Source organism: Homo sapiens, chromosome 9 (genome assembly GCF_000001405.40).
Source record: "Homo sapiens chromosome 9, GRCh38.p14 Primary Assembly".
NCBI classification, from domain to species: Eukaryota; Metazoa; Chordata; class Mammalia; order Primates; family Hominidae; genus Homo; species Homo sapiens.
Window position 1 is genome coordinate 5802240 of NC_000009.12, and position 19323 is coordinate 5821562.

The following is a 19323-nucleotide window of genomic DNA, read 5'->3' on the forward strand; positions in this document are numbered from 1 at the left end:
AGGCTAGTACTGTTTTGCTGCAGATGCCTCTGGATGGAATATTGGTATACTATAGACATGAAATCTAAACCCACCTCCCCTTTATGCCTTCTTCATTTTATTTCTCTACTTATTTCCATAAGTAGAAAAATAACATGAATGTGAAATTTTATTTATTTTTCTGGAGACAGAGTCTCGCTCTGTCACCCAGGCTGGAGTGCAGAGGCACGATCTCAGCTCACTGCAATCTCCAACACTCAGGTTCAAGCGATTCTTGTGCCTCAGCCTCCTGAGTAGCTGAAATTACAAGTGTGCACCACCGTGCTCAGCTAATTTCTTGTGTTTTTAGTACAGACAGGGTTTCACCATGTTGGCCAGGCTGGTCTTGAACTGCTGACCTTAAGTCATCCACCCGCCTCAGCCTCCCAAAGTGCTGGGATTACAGGCGTGAGCCACCATGCCCAGCAAGCAATCAGTTAATAGGTGTCCTTAAGTTATTCTCTGCTGGACCTTCATGGTTATACGTATACTGATTGAATGACAGGGGAAATGGGGACTGCTGATACAAGTGGGGTCAGGAGGAGAAGACTCAGAAACAGCTCAGTTATCAGCACACAATGGACATTTCAGAGTCCCTTTTCATGCTTCTCTTCATTTTATTTTGCACCCATCTCAGAACCTAGAGTGACACAGGATGCAATATTTCAGGAAGGCCGAGGCACGAGAATTGCTTGAACCCAGGAGGCGGTGGTTGCAGGGAGCCGAGATTACACCACTGCACTCCAGCCTGAGTGACAGAGCGAGACTCTGTCTCAAAAACAAACAAACAAACAAACAAACAAAAAACCGTGATTGCTTGACAAGACTTTAATTGCTTTCTAGCAGATGTATTTAATAAATCCCCAAGGACTGAAGGGAAAGCTGTCTGAAATATGCATTGTGGTTCAATTCTCCATTACCCAAAGAAAACAGTCTTACTCTATTAATAAGCCACTATCATTAACACTGCTACACATAAGTAAGAAAATAATTAAAAGAGTGATAACTCATGGCATCAAAGTGCGGCAGGGCTATTTCACATTATAATGAAAAATAAGTGAGCTTTCTAAAGTATTCCAAGAGGCAGTCTTCTCTCCAAAAGCTTTCCCAATAAAATATAATTTAGATGATAAGACACTTTAATCCTCTTTCTTCTGGTTTCCAAGATTTCCATGCTTTGGGGACATTTTCCATTTCCACAATGAACATCTCCAGGGTTCATTTTGCCCCCTTTCATATTATCAGTGGAACAGAATTTAAATGTCCCCTATCTGAGTCATCTTTTATGGACATCCATAGCTCCCATTCATGACTATAATTTAACAAATAAACGGGGGTGTGGGGGCATTCAGTTCATAACTAGTTGACTTCAGATTAGATTAGAACCTAATCTATAGATAACAAAAGTCCACTGTCTCCTTCAATCCTTACAACAGCAAACCTATCAAAAATACAGATGATATAAGGGTTACTATTAAACTCAAAAGCAGCAAACCCTACAGGCAGCAAAGAACATTTTAGAACTTTTCATACAGCCCTATGAATACCAATAAGGATTATCCTTATCCTTATATTATCCTTAATAATTATCCTATAAGTAAAATGGTTGGAAGGCTCAGATCTCTTTTAAGACTAGTACAACCAACCTCAAACAATAATATGCATAAGAATTACTCTACAGGACTATATACACAAAGTCACATATATAGAGCTTTACTGGCTATAAGGGACTTCCACGGATGATGCTGACCATGTGTGTAGTGTTTTCCTTACCTGCTGTCTTTAGAACCTAACTTCCACAAAGTAAAGGGGTAACGAATGCCCTTTACTATATCAGTATGAAAAGGCTCACTATCATCTCCATGAAGAAAAGAACTATAATAAAATCATAGCTCCTTTTCCTGTTTGGTTCCCTATCCTCAAATTTCAAGGTGCACCTCTGAGTGTTCAATAATTACTTTTTATTCTTAGGAATTCCCACCAAAAGAGACCTGCATTCTCTGGAGGGGCCCATCTTGGATCGTGGAGGTGGACATCAAACCAAAGCAAAACCTTGCTTGGGGCTTACTCTGCTCAAGGGGGGTCTGGTCTTAAACTCTGCATCACTGTCTTTTCTTCCCTCTGGGAATCCCAAGGGAAGAAAAAAAGGGATGGCAAACACAGGACTCTCCTTACTAGGGCAGGACACTGATACGGCAAAATGAGGACTGACAAGGCCTGTGATCATTTCATTATTTGGTAAATGAAGGCACGTTTGGGTGTCATAACAGACTCAATTAACAAGCTTTCATGTGGTAGCAACAAGGTAGTGGAATGATAATGAAAAAAGCCTCATCAGATTTAGTCTTCCTTCACTAGCTCTAAAAGCACTAATAAAACCACCCATGTATCTATTAACATGTGCCTCTAATTAGTAATTTCAAAATATACTATTAGGATCATTCACCACCAGGCAATCTCTAACAATTAATACTTGGTAAACGCTCTACAAATTCACACTCAGGTATCTGACAGGCTATTTGAAAAGAGGTAAATCAGAGAATTTGGAAGGATAGGGAGGCAAAAAACTTTTAAACAGCAACAACAAACTCTATACTACAGTTTCTTACGATACCAAATTTACAAGATGCATGGCCATTCATTCACCATTTCTTCTGCTTCAGATTTTCTCAATAAAGTACACGTAACACTATTTCACAGAATCTAGTATGGCTAAATTCATATTCATATAAAAAATGAAGAAAAAGAAAAAAACTTATTTTCTCTTACAAAATAGGACGAGAGAATCATTGTACAGCCAGCCAAAATGGATGCCAGCACAACATCAGGTGGGATTTCAGAACCACTTCTCCCGAGGATAGGGGTAAACATCTCAAATACTGCCCAGATGAGGTACAATGCATAAAGATAAGGAATAAACATCCCCAAAAGGTAAAAAGCAATAAATTTTCCTTGGGCACCTAGGGAAAAAGAGAAAAAAAGCACACATCTATGAAATCCTCCAGTGAGATATAAATTTTTATAGTACTGGTGTGCCTTGGTACCCTAACAGAAATTAGGTTAGATGTGACTCTTGCCCTTAAGGGTGTATGTTATCTTGGAGTAGGATCTTTCACTCAGGATAAAATACAAATAAGAATAAAGCAAAATACACAAGTAATATATTAGTATGTGTTCACAAACATGAGAAAGGGATGGAGTATAAGGCATAAGATAATTTGTGTGGTATGAAAACTTTTAAAAACTAACAATTTAGAAAGCCTACCCAATAAAACCAAAAAAGAAAGAGTCCCTGAAAGCCTTAAGTATTTTAAGGTATTCTCCCATGTATATCAAAATCAAAAATACCCTACCATGCTGCTTGAAGTCCTTATGCACACAGAGCTTTGTGAGCAATGGGAATGCTACCCAGACAGCACTAATAAACGCCGAGCAAAGTCCTTGGTAAGTGAGGGTAACAAGAAAACAGCAATGGACAAACAGCGAAATGTCAAAAAATACTTCTCCCAGATACTGGGCACTGGCATTCTGAAAGAAAGAAAAATATACAAGTAGTCTCATTCAGGGGTCATGCATAAAGAGCTTTTATTATAGTAACACACTTTCCATCACTCAGGAAAGCTACATTTTGTTTTAAACACAGTCTGCTCTTTAAACTGATTTAAAGTAAACACTAACAAAGCTACCTCCCCCATCATGAAGTAGTAAATTCAAATGTAGCACAAGAAAGGGCATTTTAACAATATAGAGTATAAATGCTCCATGTACTCTATGCTTTTCTTCTACTAGGCTAAAAGTAGAAATTTTCCAAAATAGAAGAAAGGACTCTCCTAAAAAACAATCATCTCTGTAAGCTTTTCAGTTCATGCCAATTCCAAACACTGTTTCAAGCAAACTAGAGAAATGACCTGTGAAGGAACGTTAGGAACTGCTGCAGCACCACCAATAACCCACATCTGGAAAACTGCAGCACCTTTAAAGCAATCTGGAGTTTGGCTTATTTTCATGAGTTTTTTCTATCTCCAGTTGGTCTTGTACTGCACCTTTGCCCCCTTCTTGTATTCCTCATGATTTCCTATTATAAAATTTGATCTTACAGTTTTTGAGATTTAAAGTCCAAGGGTTCCTATGTAGCACCTTGCACTCTTCAAAATAAAGTTGCCATATAAACTTTTTTTTTTTTTTTTTGAGACAGGTTCTCGCTCTGTCGCCTAGGCCGGAGTCCAGTGGTGCGATCTCGGCCCACTGCAGTCTCAGCCTCCTGGGCTCAAGTGATTCTTCTGCCTCAGCCTCCTGAAGTAACTGGGACTATAGGCACACACCACTACACCCAGCAAAGTTTAAAAAAAACATTTTTTTTTTGGCAGAGACAGGGTCTTGCCATGTTGCTCAGCCTGGTCTCAAACACCTGGCCTCAAGCAGTCTTCCCACCTCAGCCTCCCAAAGCACTGGGATTACAGGTGTGAGCCACTGTGCCTGGCCTAATATGAACTTAATACATTTTAACATCTGCATGAGTAATTCTATTCACACAAACATGAAAGTTTTAATTACGGTGCATAAATACAAAGATGGAAATGGAGAAATAGATATATTAAAGTTTCTCCTTCTTCAAGGGCTCAAGAGTTTCTGTGACGTGTTTTCAAAACAAGTTACAGTTCATGTAACAACCCCTCCCCGCTCCCAACAATGAAAGATAGGCTACAGCTGCTAAATACTTAAGTTATTAACACTGCGTTGATCAAGAGGCTTGGTCTTTAAAAATAAGAAAATTATTATTATAGTTCAATTTGAAGCTGAATGCCACTCAGATATTCAAAAACAAAGATCTCATTTTAAGTGCCCAAACTGCACCAAAGATAAAACATCGCTCGAATCTATTTTCCTCCTCACCTCTATTCATCCCCTGCCCACTCCTGCTCCATTCCAGTCCACTTTATACATTGTTATCAGTTTTCTCACAAAATCACAAATTCTCTCACTGACCTGCCCAAAACATTTTAATAGTGGCCCCATTGATTTTTAGAATCATGCTCCCACTTCACCCTGGCCTCCTTTTCCAGTTATTGGACTACCTCCTTGTCTTCACCACACTGGACTGTCCACTAACTGACACAGATGCATTTTATACATTCCCACCTTAAACCGCTCATCAATCTGTTCCCTACCTGGTATATTTTAACACATGCTTCAAAAACCCCATTCAGGCCAGGTGCAGTGGCTCATGCCTATAATCCCAACACTTTGGGAGGCCGAGGTGGGAGGATCACTTGAGGTCAGGAGTTGGAGACCAGCCTGGCCAACATGGTAAAACCCTGTCTCTACTAAAAACACAAAAATTAGCTGGGCATGGTGGCACACATCTGTAGTCCCAGGTACTTGGGAGGCTGAGGCACAAGAACAGCTAGAACCCAGGAGGCAGAGGTTGCAGTGAGCCAAGATCACACCACTGCACTCCAACCTGGGCGACAGAGTGAGACTCTGTCTCAACAACAACAACAAAAAAAAAACGGAAACAATTCAAATGTTGCCATCTCAGCCACCCTGACTTCCACAAGCAAAATTCATCTCGCCTCCCCTATATTCTTACAGCATAGTTATATGTCAGTCTCACTTCATCCCACAATATATTGCAATTATTATCATTCCCACACCTTCCCAAACGAAACTGAGAGCTCCTCAAAGAAAGAGATCACATTCTTATGGCTCTCTTATGGCATCATTCTTGTTTTTTTTAAAAAAAAATAATAGAGATGTGGTCTCACTTATATTGCCCAGGCTGGTCTCAAACTCCTGGCCTCAAGCAGTCTTCCTGCCTTGGCCTCCCAATGTTGGGATTACAGGTGTAAGCCACCATGCCCAGTCTCTTATGGTATCATTCTTCTGCTACCATGTTCACTGGGCACTTAAAGAATATTTGTGAAAAGAAAATGAAACACATCACTCTTTCTATTGTGCTTTTACCCTAAAGTGTTACGATCAGACAACTGAAATTAGTAAAAGTACATGAAATTTTATTACACATTTCTATCCTACTTCTGCCCCAATCAACAATAGTTAGCCACACTCTGATTACATACAATTACAATAAAAATAAGCATGTGAAATTGAGCCCCACGGTATAATTCTTTTGGGAACTGAAGCCACTAAGATAAAAATATGAGCTCAACCATAAGCAGACGGCTAACCTCAAAGAACCTTCCTTCAGCAGGAGCTGCTAACATGGAAGGTTCCACAGAACACATCCCAACATTAACTGAAACTCAGACCAAAGTTCAGATACCAAAGACATACTTGTGGAAGGATGTTGGGTTAAAATCATCCATGTCTCATTCTAATCTTTATCAGGATAAATTGAAAACAGTAGGCTTACATGGAGCTAAGAAAGATCTTCCTCTTTAATTCACATAAACAATCTGAAACCATGACTCTTCACTGTAATTCATTTTTAGACCTATTATTTTACAGCTTTTTAAATTTTTGTTTGTTTGTTTGTTTGAGATAGGGTCTCACTCTGTCCCCTAGGCTGGAGTGCAGTGGTACAATCACAGCTCACTGCAGCCTTGATCTCATGGGCTCAGGTAATCCTCCTACCTCAGCCACCCAGGTAGCTGGGACTACAGGCACACACCACCATGCCTGGCTAATTTTTTGTATTTTTTGTGGAGACAGGGTTTCACCATGTTGCCCAGGCTAAAGCGATCCGCCTGCCCAGCCTCCCAAAGTGTTGGGATTACAGGCATGAGCCACAGCACCCAGCCCATAGCCCTAATTTCTTTTTTTTGAGACAGAATCTCGCTGTCGCCCCAGCTGGAGTGCAGTGGCTCAATCTCAGCTCACTGCAGGCTCCGCCTCCCGGGTTCACGCCATTCTCCTGCCTCAGCCTCCCGAGCAGCTGGGACTACAGGCGCCGCCACCTCGCCCGGCTAATTTTTTGTATTTTTAGTAGAGACGGGGTTTCACCGTGTTAGCCAGGATGGTCTCGATCTCCTGACCTTGTGATCCGCCCACCTCAGCCTCCCAAAGTGCTGGGATTACAGGCGTGAGCCACCGCGCCCGGCCAGCCCTAATTTCTAATTTTATTTTTGCCAAACAAATTTATGCATTTGAAACCATAATAATATAACAATATTCTCAGTATAAATCATTTGGAACCCTATTTCCCTTCCCTCTGTTTTCCTTAGCAATGTGTCTTTTAACTCCAATGACATACATGCATGCAGAATCTGAATCAACAATATACAGTTAAAAAGAAAAAACAGTGAGGGAAAAACTGAAAAAACTTTAAGTACAACATTCTTTTAGGCAACAAATACTTGCTGTGTGTTAATGCTGTGTGTCAGACACTACCTAAGCACAGAGGATACAGAAATAAATAAAACAATCCCTATCCTCAAGGAGCTTACACTCCAATGGAGAACAGATATTCAAATAACATAAATAAGTGGGTGAGCCCAGGACATATTTACAAACACTGCAGCAAATTCAGTAGAAGGCTGTGCTAACAAGCCTTCCAGTCACCACCACCCTAACACTGTTAACAGCCCGGCTTTATAACCTCATTTGAATTTTGTGACATTACCCTCAGAATAAGAAATCTTTCAGAAAATTAACACAGTGTAGGTGCGTTTTCCATAACCATGCTGAACAATTTTTTAGCACTCAAAAGGCCAAATACAATGAATCACACTTAAGTTCATCTTCAGTCCCTGGAGGCAACAGAAAGAAATCAACAAATATACCAAACACTTACCATGTAATAAAATCTTTTCGCAAGAGTATGTATAAGTATTATTTTGGCTACAGTTGCAGTTCCATACAGACAAACGGAGACATAGAAGTGGTTATACCATGAGAGAGACTGTCCAATAAGAGAGATGAACACTGCTATAATGAGAACGGTAACAAGGCTAGTGAACCAGCTGATCAAAGTGATGCCAAGTCCACACAAGAAGTCCTTCTTGTAGTTACCAGCTAATGAAGAGAAAACAAAAAGTTGAAATCACCATCTTCATCAAATCAGTTATATAACCAGTCAGTAGAGCTAAATGGGCAAACATTAAAACAAAAAACTCCCCACTGTACTTGAAAAGTATGAAAATGTCCTAGTGTTGAGATTGGCCAAACACAAGAACAAGGGAGGTATCAAATAATAATATTCAGGTAACATTTATTAAGAGTCTCTAGATACTAAACACTCAAAAAGATAAATCTTCTAGGAATAGTTCAGGTACATTCCTTATGAAGGAAGAGGATAGTCTTAATCTTCTTCACTTTTGGTATGCTTTGTGTATCAAAATATTAGCAAGAATGGAAGGCAAAGTTCCATATAAAATGTTGTTAAAATAAGGTAACATAAGAAGATAAGGAGTGTGGGGAAAATAAGCGTTGATAAAGAATTATTTAAACTGCTGCTAAATATTTTATCTCGTAACAGCACACAACAACTTAGACTCTGAAACATTTCAAGCAGAAATATTTCAAATAAAAGAAACAGTTTAACCACAAGCAGTTCATTCATACTTCGTGACACTGGTCCATACTAGCTATTGGTCTGTAGTGTGGACTTTTTAATGGGACTTTTCATTAGAAGTCAATCTGTACAAACCATTTTTCAATAGTTTCTATGTGGTACTTTTATGGAGTGCCTAAATATATAAAAATTGACTGCTTCACCAAGACTAAAAGTAAAATAAGCATATTAATTTAATATTTAAAAATTTCTTACAATATAAAGCAAACATTGTCTTAAGATTTTTAGCTTTCTGGGAAGATATAAACAAACTGACTGAAAAACTTCAAGCACATTCTACAGCAATGCCAGTATTTGTAGTTTTAGAGGAAAATACTTACTCTTATGTTTGGGCTGCAAAAATTTTTTGCCCAGGTACAAAACAACACCCATTACCACCATGTAGTTTATGATTGAGCCAATACGAGAGGGGTAGGCAATGACAAACAGGCCCAGCACATCAAAGAAGACCATGTTTCCATGTCGATACTTAGAAGCAGCAGCCAGCATATCAGATGTAGCTAGATGCTTAAGAACTGCTAAAATGTTGTCACCTATTAGTAAAAACAAAAAAAAAAAGAAAGAAAAGGAAAAAGATAAAAAGGCTGAATAAACTATTTGTGATTTACACATACCACTATTTAAAGCAGAAATAAACCATATACTGTTTGAATGAAGAAATGGTTAGAAAGAATGTGAACAGAAATCGCTTTCTACCATCCTACTGCTCTCCCTCACTTTTTTTACTAAATTTCTCAAATAAGGTCCATCCCCTGCCTTTCTCCATTTCCTCTCCACTCAGACGCTCAGCCAACTGGCCTGTATCTTTTCCCTTCTATTAGAACTATTCTCTGTGATCAATTGTACCTTCATTGTTGACAAATCCAATGGCTGTTTCTTGGTACCCATTCATTTAATAATATATATTAACTGTACTAGACACTCTTCTAGATATCAGAAATTTAGTGGTGAACCAAGAGACAAAGGCCTTTCACGAAGCTCAGAGATGCTGAACAAGCTGTCACACATGTGTTAAAAATTGAGGAGAGCTAGCAGAGTTCCACAGGAAAACATCATGGGAGACTAACAGAGCTACATTCTTACCACTCAGCAATCCTCCCAACCCTGGGCCAACTCCTTTTTCATTTCCTCACAATGAATATTCCTGACCTTAATTGCTACACTAGACTACAAGACTAAAATTCAAGATCTCATCTCTCCAACTCCAAAGCCCTAGCTCATTCACATTGCATACTGCCTCTCTAATGCACAGGCCACAGAATATTTACAAGTTTATGTATCATCCCTAACATTCCATCTTAGTGTATATCAAAAGTCTAAATTGGAATACCAACCTGCTCTCTGAATGGAATCTGTTAGAATTCTGTCCGCTGTGTCATACTTGGTGTGATAAATGTATCCATTCTCAATAAAAGCTAAGTCTATTCCTAAAACATATATATAGAAAAAAAAAAGTCATTTTGCTTTAAAGATCAACCTTGCTTTCGACCTATTTCTTTAATAAATTCCTAAAAGACAAAATGTCAAAGCAGTGGCACGATTGCTTTGTCACATTTACAAACGACTGATATAAATTCTCTTCCAAATTCTTACACAGTCTATAGCTTTGGTACATAATTCGATACATAATGATTGAAGAAGTATATTACTCCACAGGTAGGCATTACAAGTCACACAGCAAGGATAGGAATATTGAGTTTGGGAGGTCATGAAAATTTTGCCACCTACATTCTTGCCAGGCCAGAGCCAAATTTTAACTTCAAATAAGTTGTACATACAAGTTGCCAAGGGAGTTGGCAAACCAAGACAACAACGAAAGACCCCTGAAGGATCTATTACCATCTTTTGGGAATGAGGTGCTAAACAGTTCACCCCTGTTCTTCTATGGGGAAAGATGACATATTTTAGAGGAGGCCAGCATTTAAATTAGTATGGAGTTTAAAAAAGGAAACAAACTCTGTTTTAGTGAGTCAATGTATATTTCTCACATAAAGAATTTGATCTCAGAAAATGCTGTTTACTCACATACTTTCAAGATTTAAAATTTGCTTTTGATAAATAAATGCTGCACAGTAGGCCGTAACCATTGACAATATACCTGGAATGTTCCCAAAATCCCTGTAGATACGAAAGTCAGTATCTGAAGGAATGATTCCACTCTGAAAAACCTCCTGAGCCACCACAGAAGCAAAAGGGTGTTTAGCTGCTGAAACATAAGCTTGAACCAACCAAGGATTTTCAGGACCTAAAATGAAAGATGACAACACAATAGAAGGTATTCCGGCAATTTTTTTTAACATACTAATGTTTTTCAACACATAGAAAACAGTAAAAGTGGTGGTTTTGGGAGACGGGTCCAATATGTACCTTTTCATCCCTTTTTCTGTAGTTTCCAATGTTTCTCTGATATATGTGTTTGACTTTTAGAATAAAAACCTTTTGTGAAAATAAAGTATAAAATAACAGCAATACAAAAGTCTGTCTGAAAATGAAAGATCATTCATAAATCTATCATCCTAAAATGCCTATTATCAATTGTATATCTTTAATTTTCTTACTAATGTAGAATTGTGTGTATATAGCTGTACTCAAGATATATATACTTTGTACATTTGTTTTCACTTAACATTATATTAAATGCATTTTCCTATGTTGCTAGATACAAATTGGGTATACCTTATCTGAAATGCTTGGGATCAGAAGTATTTTGGATTTTTTACTTTTTCGGATTTTGGAATATCTGCATTATACTAGTAAGCATCCCTAATCCTAAAATCCAAAATCAGAAATGCTCCAATGAACATTTTTGAGCATCATGTCAGTGCTCAAAAAGTTGTGAATTGTGGAGCATTATGGATTTCAAATTTTCAGATTAGGGATGCTCAATCTGTATTATAATAATCATTTTGATAACTGCTTAACATTTCACTGAATATGCCATAAAGTTCCTTGTTACTTTTTATAATTTATCATTATTAATAATTTTCCATCTGTATCTCATACATCTACAGCTTTTTCAAATGGGAGTTTTTCCTGTAGGATAGTGGGATACATTGTTTTATAATTTATATAATTATATAATTATACGTATATTTATATAATTATAATTATATAATTATATGTATAATTGTATAATTATTCACTCTTCCCTCGCTGAAAAAGGATTATACATTCCTACTCTTGCCACATACCTTGTAATGCCTGCCTGGGGAATGAGTACATACTCTTCTGTACCTATTAACTGCAGGCGTGGCTACATGACTTGCTCTAGCCAACAGACTGTGAGGAGGAATGACATGACCCTCAACTGGGCAGAGTTTTCAAAGGCATTAACATCATTCATACTTATCCTTAACTTTGATTTGTGAGATCAATACATCCCTTATAGGGGCTTCTCCTTCAGCCTGGATCCCAGAATGAATAAGACACATGGAACATAATAACCGTGGACCATAACTGCAGTTATTCAGAAACCAAAATGCAACACGAGCAAGAAATAAGCCTTTGCTGTTGTAAACCACCAAGATTTTGGGGTTGTTACCACAAAACTTAGCAACATATTGACTGATGTAAACAGACCAAGTAACTGAATGTCAGGGAATCTAAGAATATTGTTTTTTTAACTTCACAGATTATAAAATTGCTTTCCTACATTTTAAAAAATGACCAAGGCTGGGTGCAGTGGCTCACGCATATAATCCCAGCACTTTAGGAGGCCGAGGTGGGCAGAGCACCTGAGGTCAGGCATTTAAGACCAGCCTGGCCAACATGGCAAAACCCCACCTCTACTAAAAATACAAAAATAAGCAGGGCATGGTAATCCCAGCTGCTCAGGAGGCTGAGGCAGGAGAATTGCTTAGACCTGTGAGGTGAAGGCTGCACTGAGCCAAGATTGTGCCACTGCACTCCAGCCTGGGTGACAGAGTGAGACTCCATCTGAAAAAATAAAAATTAAAAATTAAAAATGACCCAAAAAAGCAGAGGGACCCTATAGAAACAGACATACAAGTAATCCAGATACTGGAGTTACCAGACACAGATTCTAAAATAATTATGATTAATATGTTTTAAAAAACACAGATATCAGTAATTTCACCAGACAAGTATAATCTATTTAAAAGAGTCCTACAAATGGAAATCCTAGAATGAAAAAACATAACTGATGTTGCGAATTTTAATAAATGGGCTTAACACAAAGTTTAATACAGCAGAAGAAAGGATTAAAATTAAAGCATAAAAAGAAAAAAAGGTTGGAAAATACACAAATGTGAGTAATTGGAGTCCCAAAAGAACAGAAGATAGAATGGAGAAGATAAATGTTTAAAGACTTAATGGCCAAGAATCTTCCAAAACTCATAGAATTCAAGCCACGAATTCAAAAAGGTCTACAAACCCCAAACAAGATAAATATAAAGAAAAACTGTATCTGGCACCATTTACTTTTGAATACTATTCCCCACCAAAAGAAACCAAGCCTCCTTAGAGAAATGGCTGATTCCAGGTCTGGGACTAGCAAAGTACAAGGTAAGTTGAAACATCTGTGCCAGAAAGTAAGAAAGTGATCAAAAAGACATGTCAAAGGGGCTCAGGCACTGATTTGAAATAGACACCACTGGCCTAAACTGGGACAATTCATGCAACAAAATAAACAATAGTAACAGAATATATAGAGTAAAATTAAAATACATAAAGTACTGAAATAACAAAAAAAAAAAAAAAAAAAGGAAAATGGAAAGCCTTCCTTCTTGCAGAATTCCAACTATGACCTACAGGCAGAATGATGGAACCAGAAACTCAGCAGTAGCATTTGGTAAACATTGTAATAAAAATGCTTGGGGACAAGAGTCATCAATGATTGCTAAAACTAGGATCAAAGTTTTATGACAAACAGGATATTTACCTAAAGTATCTATCACTAAGGGGAAATCAGTAACTTGTACAAAGAAAGAAATAGTAGAAAAACCTGGCAAATAAATACCTTAATCAAACGATGAAAATGTAGTATCATTAATAATGAGACAAACAGATACCACATGCATCCTGATGTGATGCACTGAGGACACAAATACAAAAGGAAAAAGAACTATGATGATGGGGAAATACGTACATTACGAGATCTTATCATATTAAAATACTATTATTAAAATATTACTATTTGATATTAAGAAATTTATGCTAAAAAATACAATGAAAACCATACTGAAAAACAGGTAAAGCCAAACTATCATTAATTATCTTAAAACTTAGGATAATAGTTCCTCTTAGATGGGAGGGAGTTGTATTTGAGAAGAGAGGTTAAAAAAAATGCCTAGGCAGGCAAGGCAATCCACCCTCTTCCATGAGACAGAGTTAAAAAGATTTTCACCTTACAATAATTAAGTTTTCAACTTTATAATTAAATGCTATATTTGATCCTGGGTAGGAACCCAGATTTTTTTTTAAATGGTTAGGACATTAATGGAACAACTGGAAAAATCTGAATATGCATTATTATAGTTTAATATTAATATTTCTTGAGTGTGATCAATGTTCTGTTACAGAAGAGCATGTCCCTGTTTATCTGAGATGATCATCCTGAGATTATCAATTGACATGATTTTTCTCTTTATTCTGATAATGTAGTGAATTACACAGATTGATTTTCAAATATTATACCATCCTGTTGATCAACTTGGTTGGAAAGTATTATCTTTTGTATATATAAATATTCCTGGATTCAGTTTGCTAATACTTAATTTAGGACTTTTGCATCTAAAGTTGGTATTACCTACCCAAAATATCTACCAAAGCTGAACATATACACATCTTATGACCCAGCGATTCCACTCAGAAATGTGCATACACATACATGTGTACCAAAAGACATTTACGAGAATGTTCACAGCAGCACCATTCATAGCAAAAACCTGGAAACAACATAACAGCACCAACGGAATGGATCAATTGTTGTAGAATTGACTAGTGTTCGGCAAGAAAAAAGAATGAACTACAGATGAGGAAGTGAAGCTCGGAGTGGTCACATGACCTGTCCAAGGTTCCACGTGTAGAATGTGCTATAGCTAAAGTTTTGAGGTTTGACCTTAGATCATCTAACTACAGAGCCTATGCTTTTTTTTTTTTTTTTTGGTGACAGAGTCTCGCTCTGTCTCCCAGGCTGGAGTACAGCACCTCAATCTTGGCTCACTGCAAGCTCTGCCTCCCGGGTTCACACCATTCTCCTGCCTCAGCCTCCCAAGTAGCTGGGACTACAGGCGCCTGCCAATATGCCCGGGTAATTTTTTGTATTTTTAGTAGAGATGGGGTTTCACCATGTTATCCAGGAAGGTCTCGATCTCCTGACCTCGTGATCCGCCTGCCTCGGCCTCCCAAAGTGCTGGGATTACAGGCATGAGCCACCGTGCCCAGCCTTTTTTTTGAGACAGAGTCTCTCGCTCTGTCGTCCAGGCTGGAATGCAATGGCATGATCTCGGCTCACTGTGACCTCTGCCTCCCGGGTTCAAGCGATTCTCCTGCCTCAGCCTCCCAAGTAGCTGGGATTACAAGCGCCCGCCACCATGCCTGGCTAATTTTTGTACTTTTAGTAGAGACAGGGTTTCACAATGTTGGCCAGGCTGGTCTCGAACTCCTGACCTCAGGTGATCCGCCCGCCTTGGCCTCCCAAAGTGCTGGGATTACAGGCGTAAGCCACCACACCCGGCCAGAGCCTATGCTCTTAATCAGTACCCTATCCTACCTCCACGCAAAACCTTTTAGTTATCTTACAGAGTAAGGTGGCAGGCAGATACAGAAACATTTTCAATTGACATTCTTTCTCCTGCCATCATCTAAATCCTATGATGCTTCCAGCTTCTTGTGTGTTCATTTCTCAAGAATGAGCCTCATCTTTCTTAATGCAAAGAGTATGGGCATGCGTAACGTTCAGAGGAGGTAGGCCTCAGTGCCAAGAATAGTAAGTCAAAGTTCTCTAGAAGTCCAGGGAAAACAGACCCAGCTCAGCAGACCCACAGCATCCTTCCACTGCTTTACTTCCTTCAATCTCTAGTTACGGCATCAATACACAAAAGGAAAAAAAAAAAGGAGGAACTAATAAAAGAGACTAAGAGTGGTAAATATTATGATGGAAGCCAAGTAACATGAGGCCTGAAAACTGACTGAATTTGCCAATGTGACCTTTACAAGAATAGTCGTGGTGAAGTGGGGAGGCTAAAGCTGACTAGAATTGTTCAAGAATAGATCACATGGTGGATCTATCGATTTTGGTGGATCTCGGTATATCAAGGTGGATCACTTGAGCCCAGGAGCTGGAGAACTGTGAGCCATGATTGCATCACTGCATTCCAGCCTAGATGACAAAGCAAGATCCTATCTCAAAAAAAAAAAAAAGCAGTTATTCAAGACTATGACTACAGACCATTCTTTTGAGGAATTCTGCAGTAGAGGGTCAGAGGAATAAGACTAGCTAGCAGGTTGTGATAAAAGTGGTTTTCTTTAAAATGGAGGAAAAGGTATGTCTGCATGCAAATGGAAATGATCCTATAGAGAGAGAAAAATTAATGATGGAAGAAAGAAAAAAATTATCATGACCAGTCTCCTACTCATACACTAAAGGTATTTCCAATTTTCTACTCTTAAGAGAAAACCAAGACTGGACATGATGCCTCATGCCTTTAATCCCAGCACTTTGGGAGGCCAAGGAAGGAAGACTGCTTAAGTCCAGAAGTTTGAGACCAGCCTGGGCAACACAGTGAGACCCTGTCTCTACAAAAAGTAAAAAACTGGCTGGGCATGGTGGCACGTGCCTGTCATCCCAGCTACTCAGGAGGCTGAAGCAGGCAGATCACTTGAGCCCAGGAGCTGGAAACCAGTGAGCCATGACTGCTCCACCACATTCCAGCCTGGGCAACAAAGCAAGATCCTATCTCAAAAAAAAAAAAAGAAAAGAAAAGAAAACCCAAGATGACTTAGATTTATGTCAACTATTTCTGCAGGTTAAATTCCCAGAAATGGGTCTGCTGAACTGAAGAGCCTGCACATTTAAAAAAGTAATACATGTTGCCAAAATGCACATCTACATTCTCACTAACAGTGTATGAAAATGACTGCTTATACTCATCAGCACTGGGCATTATCATTTTACTAACTTTTTGCTGATCAAGTATTTTAAAAATCCTTACTGTTATATGTATTTGCATTTATTCTCAAATAAAACTGTTTAATTTGGCAGTTTCTTAAAAAGCTATGCATAAATTTACTATACATCCCAGGAATTCCATTCCTAGGTATCTAAAAGAAATGAAAATATACGTTTACACAAAGACTTACACATGAATGTTTACTCCAGCATTATCATAAAAGTCTAAAAGTGGAAACAATCCAAATATCCATCGATGGATGAATGGATAAACGAAACATAATACATCCATACAATGGGTTAGTCAGCCATTAAAAAAAAATGAAGTACTAATACATGCGACAATGTGGATGAACCTTGTGAAAGCTGTCAGAATCAAAACAGACTCACTTGCGTTAAAAACTCCGATAACGGAGCCAGGGAAGGCCATGAAGGGAGGGTTCTCATGCACAAATGCCTGATAACAAGAATTATCACAAAAGACTCTTCAAAAACCACAACCTTGCATAAAGGCCATTGCAACCTCATATCAAACAAAAAACTTCAGCAAGGACATCAGCCCAGCAACTGCCTGTCCAATCTCAGACTGGTGCCACCCTTGTTATTGATCCTTGTAGCCAAGGATAATTATCCCTAAAAAATTATGTAATCCTCTTCATTTTTCCTATAAAAACTTTTGTCTTCCTTTACTGCCCTGGTTTACTATGGCACATAGTTTCACAGTTTACTATGGCACATGTATTCCTACTGCAACACCCATTACTAAATACCATCTTCTTTGAGAGTCTCCCTCTGTTATTTAGATTAACAATCTGAAATACATTACACTAAGTAAAAAAACCCAAACGCAAACAATCACGTGTTGTATGATTACATTTATATGAAATGTCTACAGCAGGAAAATCTATAGAGACACAAAGTAGACAGGCAGTTGCCTAGGGATGGGGGAAAATGGGAGTGACTGCTAATGAGTTTCCTATTTGGGATGATAAAAACATTCTAAAATTGATTATGATGATGATTGCACAACTAAGAATTATATATCTCAATAAAGCTGTAACTTTAAAAAAAAGAATTCATTCTAAAGAAGGCTACAGGCCGGGCGTGGTGGGTCACACCTGTAATCCCAGCACTTTGGGAAACTGAGTGGGCCGATCACCTGAGCTCAGGAGTTCGAGACCAGCCTGGCCAACATGGTGAAACCCCGTCTCCACTAAAAATACAAAAATTAGCCAGGCATGGTGTCACACACCTGTAATCCCAGCTACATGGCAGGCTGAGGCAAGAGAATCGCTTGAACCCAGGAGGCAGAGGGTGCAGTGAGCTGAGATCGCGTCACTGCACTCCACTCTAAGCGACAGAGCGAGACTCCACCTCAAAAAGAAAAGGTGGCTATAAAGTAGCAGACAGAATATGATTCTATTTTTGCCAAGAAATATATATACACATATATAAATGTATATTAATGTTTGCATTTAGAAAAAAATTCTAGAAGAGTATAGACTAAACTATTACACTAGTTTGCTCTGGATGGTAGAATTACAGGGGCATGAATATTTTCCCAAGAGGAAAAAAGATTCTGTGACCCTTTTGCTATCAAGCCTCTCTCACTCATGAAATGAGGTCACTGGTCTGATAAAATCAAGTCATTCTTTCTGGCCCTTCTTAAAAATTAGGTAGTAATGATTATTCTAGTCACTAAAAACTCCCCAAATGAATGTCGCTCTCAGAAGTGACAAGGGAGTTCCAGAGCACAAACTGTTTAACCAAAAAGTTTCCAGGGCAGGACAAATATTATCACACAGAAAAAGGAGTATGGTTTAAAAAGCTGAGGACAGCACAATCTGGCATATACTCTCAAGCACAACTCCAAACCCAGGAGGGCCTTTATCCTCTTTTAGTCAAACATGAAAATAACACTAACTAGCTTTTTGAAAGCCATGCCCACAAGAAGCGCAGTCTTTTGTAGGCAGTGGCATTAAAAGTGACAGAGATGCTGGGAAAGGTATCAGAATGTCAGAAAGCACCCAGAAAGCTTTCAGGTATGGAGTTTAGCCAAAATAATGAGCTCCAAAACCTAGAGGGAGAAAAAATCATGTAAAATTTCAGAGTAAGGAGGGAAATAATCTCTTCAAATCTTTTGTATGACACCCCTCCAAAAAAATTAATTTTGAAACATGGGGATTTCAGAACAAGTAAAACATTTAAATTTTATGTTTATACTAACCAGTCATAAATCTGTTTTTTGCTTTATTATTAAAGTGATCATATACATTGCAAAAATTTAAATACATAAAATTATAGAAAGTAGTGCATTAATGACAATCAATTCTGGTCTTAAATTCATGAAGCAACAGAGAATTTAAACTGTTGTTTTACCTTTAACCTAGTCCTCCATTCCAGTCACACACAGCCCAGTTCTACCAGCAACTGCTCACCATCCAGCTAGGAGCATTATTAACAGTTTGTTTACACCCTTTCAGATAATGTAATTATTTTTAGAATTTATGCAGCTGCAGAATTTTTGTCTAAAACCATATGCATTTAATAAAAAGAGTAAGGACTCTGGGCTGCCCAGGCCTACCAAAAATGAGTACTTAATAAATGTAAATAAGTAATGTTAGTCAGTCTGGACCTGACT

At 38.3% G+C, this 19323-nt stretch overlaps 1 protein-coding gene across 6 annotated transcripts in view; it reads right to left on the reverse strand.

The window, feature by feature from the left end:
• The window catches only part of ERMP1 (endoplasmic reticulum metallopeptidase 1), an 82520-nt gene that overhangs the window by 17668 nt on the left and 45529 nt on the right, over window positions 1-19323 (reverse strand). For 4 of the 6 annotated variants that reach the window (XM_017015139.3, XM_047423898.1, NM_024896.3 and 1 more), the window contains 6 exons: window positions 10650-10796; window positions 9886-9978; window positions 8872-9084; window positions 7772-7992; window positions 3372-3546; window positions 2788-2978 (listed from right to left, as the gene is read on the reverse strand). In XM_017015139.3, coding sequence (XP_016870628.1) covers window positions 2788-2978; window positions 3372-3546; window positions 7772-7992; window positions 8872-9084; window positions 9886-9978; window positions 10650-10796 — 1040 coding nt within the window. The remainder of the gene's footprint in view (window positions 1-2787; window positions 2979-3371; window positions 3547-7771; window positions 7993-8871; window positions 9085-9885; window positions 9979-10649; window positions 10797-19323) is intronic. The other 2 variants (XM_047423899.1, NM_001410952.1) reach the window with 2 other exon arrangements.